Raw genomic sequence first — 4,516 nt, forward strand, 5'->3', positions numbered from 1 at the left:
TGAGAGACAGTAGGAAAAATAAGCAAAATATAGAATGTGTTGAGTAATGATAAATGCTAAGGAGAAGAAACTAAGGAAGGGGGATAGGAATAGGGTGGGAATTATAATTTTAGATAAATTACACAGACATTCAGGGTATCATTTACTAGTACTCTATTTTAAAAATCATAAATGTGGTTCAAATGTGGAGGGTCTTCCTCACTTGAAGTTAAACCATTCCCCTTAAGAGAAGGTTAACAGTGAATGTTAATTCTCAGCTCTCCAGATCTCTGCCTTAAATAGGAACAGTCTTTTTATATTAAAACATGAGGACAGTAGCCTTTGGAAAAGATGTGCAATCTAATTAAAATGGAGAGATTAGCTGCCCTCGGAATATTTGCAAAGCCTAGAAAGGTAATTTAGTGAAATGTATACAATTTTATCTGGCTTTAATTTTTAATGAGATAGTTTATAATGTGTCCCTATTTTTCTCATTTACCTGAATTGGCCAAACTGTGAAGCTGTTTACAAACAGACAGTGTTCCAAGACCAGGGTGGGGATCAAGGTCTTGAGATAAAGGGCCCATTAATTGATACAAGACAGAAATTCCATGCCTGCCTATCAAATACTACCTTTCAGCTTGGGTAGAAATAAGTTCCCCATCTGAGACTCTGAAGCCAGAAATACCTGAAAAATCTAAGCTGTGCCAGAAAATATACTCCAGGGTGAGTTAAACACTCACTGTAGTCGGACGGATTCTGACCCATGAGCATAAGAGGTGCCTTGATACCCATAGCAGCTGTTACACATTTTTAAATAAAAGATGTTTTCTTTATATCATGCTGAAACACTATTTGCTATGGGCTGTGCCACAACATTTTTAAAATGTTAATGAACAAATTCCCCCTCCTTCCAGGCATAGGACAGTTTCACGCTTTCTCCTTGTCTTTCAAGGTAGGCATGGCCAGATGTTTTGCCTTGACCAATGGAATGTAGATGGAGATTTTAGGTGTCATTGCCAGAGTGAAGCTTTAGAAGCCTGTGCATAAGTCACAGTTTCCTTGTTCCAAAATTGGCCATCCTAGGGCAAGATGCATCAGTCTGACTTCCTAGGTGGCTGGAAGGAGCCAAGACCCTGCTGAGCCGCACTGGACACGTAGCATGAGTGACATTCAAAGCCTCGTTGTATTAAGCCACTGATATCTGGAGGCATGTTGGTTACCGCAACTTGCCCTAGCATATTCTGCCTGGATCTGGAATAAGGAATATAAAGAAATAAATGAGAAACCAGTACCTACAGAGGAATCCTTTGGATTAAGTGATTTGAAAAGGATGACATGTAAAGGGTGTTAAATTACTCCGCGGAGATGTGTTCGAGGCAATGGGTGGTTAAACTGGCCTGTGTTTGTCTCTCTGCCTTTCTGCGTTTCACATAGGCTTTGGGCAGGGCACTTAATGTTTCTGAGTCTCAGTTTCCTCTTTTGTGAAGTGATGGCATTTGTAATATGTTATAGCTCCAAATATAAGGGCCTGGACCTTACTAGGAACTCAGAATATGTTATTTCCCTTCCTGGTGTTGTTTCCTTTGTTTTCGTAGCTAAGCAGTTCAGCTTGGTTATAAGAACAGAAAGCCTAATAATGCTCTTAAGCTTCAAAAGGCAGTTAGATTGCATCCCAAGATGAGCAAATTTAAAAGAGGGAAGAAAGTGAAACAAAATCCCAAGAACTGGTTTATTTATCGTGAGCAATTACATCTTCAATATATTAGAAGATAGGTTTTCAGCTTAGAAGGTAAATAAAAGGCTAAATAATATTGTCACAGCTTGATACAAGTTCAAGATCATGATGCTTGTACTAATAGTTTATGGAAAAGAGCATTGGGTTTTTTGTTTCTGTTTTTGTTTTTGAGATGGAGTCTCGCTCTGTCACCTAGGGTGGAATGCAATGGAGCGATCTTAGCTCACTGCAACCTCCACCTCCCGGGTTCAAGCGATTCTCCTGCCTCAGCCTCCGGAGTAGCTGAGACTACAGGCACATGCCACCATGCCCGGCTAATTTTTGTATTTTTAGTGGAGACGGGGTTTCACCATGTTGACCAGGCTGGTCTCAAACTCCTGATCTCAAGAGATCCAGATCCGCCCTCCTCGGCCTCCCAAAGTGCTGAGATTATAGGTGTGTGCCACCATGCCTGGCCAGAGCATTGCTTTGATGAAACAGTTGACCTGGATGGAAGTGGGAGAGCATATTAGAATCATCTGAGAGGGTTTTTCAAATGGTGGCTGCTTCCTCCCACCACCCCTCCCCCAAATCTGACTTGCCCCTCAGAGAGCTTGTATCAGTCGGGATAGGTGATGCTGTAGTAAAACAAAACAGCAACAACAAGGAGAGAACAAAAACCTCATCAGTGAATTTCATCTCAGTGGCTTACAAGGTGTACTGTTTCCTTGCATGACCTGCCCATCATGGCTTGGCCGCATCTCTGCTCCCCAGCACCTTCACTTTAGGACCTGAGCTAAGGGATTTGTCTCTATCTGAAACACCACCCATCCCATGAGAGAAGGAAAGGGTGACATGGTAAACCCCACACAGACTCACAGACTTTTATGCTTCTAGCCAGAGGGGACAGATCACCTCTAGTCTCATTGCACTGGCCAGAGAAGATTACATAGCAAAGCCTGACGCCAGTGGGGAGAAGGAAGGATAACCTTGCCCAGAGAGAGGTGGCAAGAATCTGTGAACAGTAATCAAGCTAATCACCCCAGAGGGTGCGGCACTCCCCATCATGCTTCTGCAGTGAGTGCCTCCATCATGGATAGGGGGATGGAGGGTGAGGGTGGGGGTGTCATAGGCATTGGCTATGCCAGAGCAGAAACAAAGGGTGAAAAACAACTTGAATCTATGCCCTCCCTTCTAGCTATAACTCTTTACTAAATGATGAAAACACTGTAAAAATAATAAAAGTGGATGTTTTTGCCAAGCCACGCTTAGAACTTGGTTTTCCTCCTCAGCCATCCAAGATTTTCTTCTCTTTTAATACCACACTCTTTTTGTAAATCAACAAATAAAAATACCACACTTTTGACAGGTAGTTGATAGAACTCACTTGGTTAGGAATCCTCAAGAATGATTTATGTCAGACTAAAGAAAGGGCATGCTATTGTTTTGTCTATTTGACATGAAACCACAAGTTAACTCATTCCAAAGAGCTTTCAGTTGGGCAGGAAAACTAGATGCAGTGATTGTGTACTAAGCTATTAGGGCACAATAATCCATGTGATAACCTCACTTTTCCTCACCTTTGCACAGATGTGTGAATATACTGAAGTTATAGCCTCAAATCTCCCCAGTTTATCATATTCATCCTCTGCCTGAATGCTATTTCTGTCTTGATTAGTTTAAACCAATGGCGTGGATTGAGGTCAAATATTGGAAGCCAAGTCACAGTGTAGGTTGAAGGGATTTCTCCTTGTAGTTTTAACCCTAATGAGAAGGAAATGACCTTATCCATGCTTTTAAAGCTATGTAGGCAGGAATCCAACAAAAGAAGAGTATTTTTTTAAATAACATTACCAATGCCTTTATATCACTAAATGAAGTTATTAAGCTGAAAATCATTAAATATTGATTGAGTCACTGATTGGTTGCATTTCTTTTGTCATATTTTACTTTGCAAAAGATCTGTAAGCAAAATGTGCCATTTCCCCCAGCTAAAGTGTCTTGGTAGAAGCACAGGTCAGCAGGATGCTCTTTAGCGCATCTCAGAGCTTCCCAGCACCCATTAACACAATTTGGCTGAAGGAACTTCATTATGTGCCCCCAACAACATTTTGGCTCTAGGTCTCTCTTCATCATGCACCATCTGATTCAAGTTCTAGTTATTGCTAATTCAGTTAATGGGTTGAAATACTGCTTTTCCCTCTATCAAGGCGCTTTATGCTATGAACATTTAAATCTTCCTGTCATCTCTGGGTTGGACAATCATCATCCGCTTTGCAGTTCACAACTGAAAGATAACCAATCCTCAAACACTACTGCCAAGAGCGTCTGAGAAGTCTTGTTTTGTCCCAGTTTATGAAATAGTTCATCTTGAACATCTGATGTAATATAGTGGAATCTCATGTCTGTAAAAACACTGTTGCTAGCAGTGAGTGTGCTTAACTTATTTTCTGTATCACTGCAATGCCATTATCGCAGCTAACAAAATTAACAATGATTCCTTTGCATCATCTAATATGCAGTTCACGTTCAAGTTTTCCTTCTTGTCTCAAATGTCTCTCTGCACTTCATTTGTAGGAATCGGAATCCAAACAGGGTCCATTGCATTTGGTGAATTTCCCACATTCTGGATGTGGCTGATGGTTTCCTCATGGTATCATTTCATTCGTTCCTCTATCTTTCTAATTTCCTGTAGGCAGATCATAAGATCTAGAGACTTTATTAAATTCTGGTAAAATTTTATTTTTGGCAGGAATCCTTCAGAGGTGGGGATTGTGTATTTCTTCTTGCATTACCTCAGGATGCACATGATTTCTGTTT

The sequence above is a fragment of the Homo sapiens genome, chromosome 3 (genome assembly GCF_000001405.40).
Source record: "Homo sapiens chromosome 3, GRCh38.p14 Primary Assembly".
Classification (NCBI taxonomy): Eukaryota; Metazoa; Chordata; class Mammalia; order Primates; family Hominidae; genus Homo; species Homo sapiens.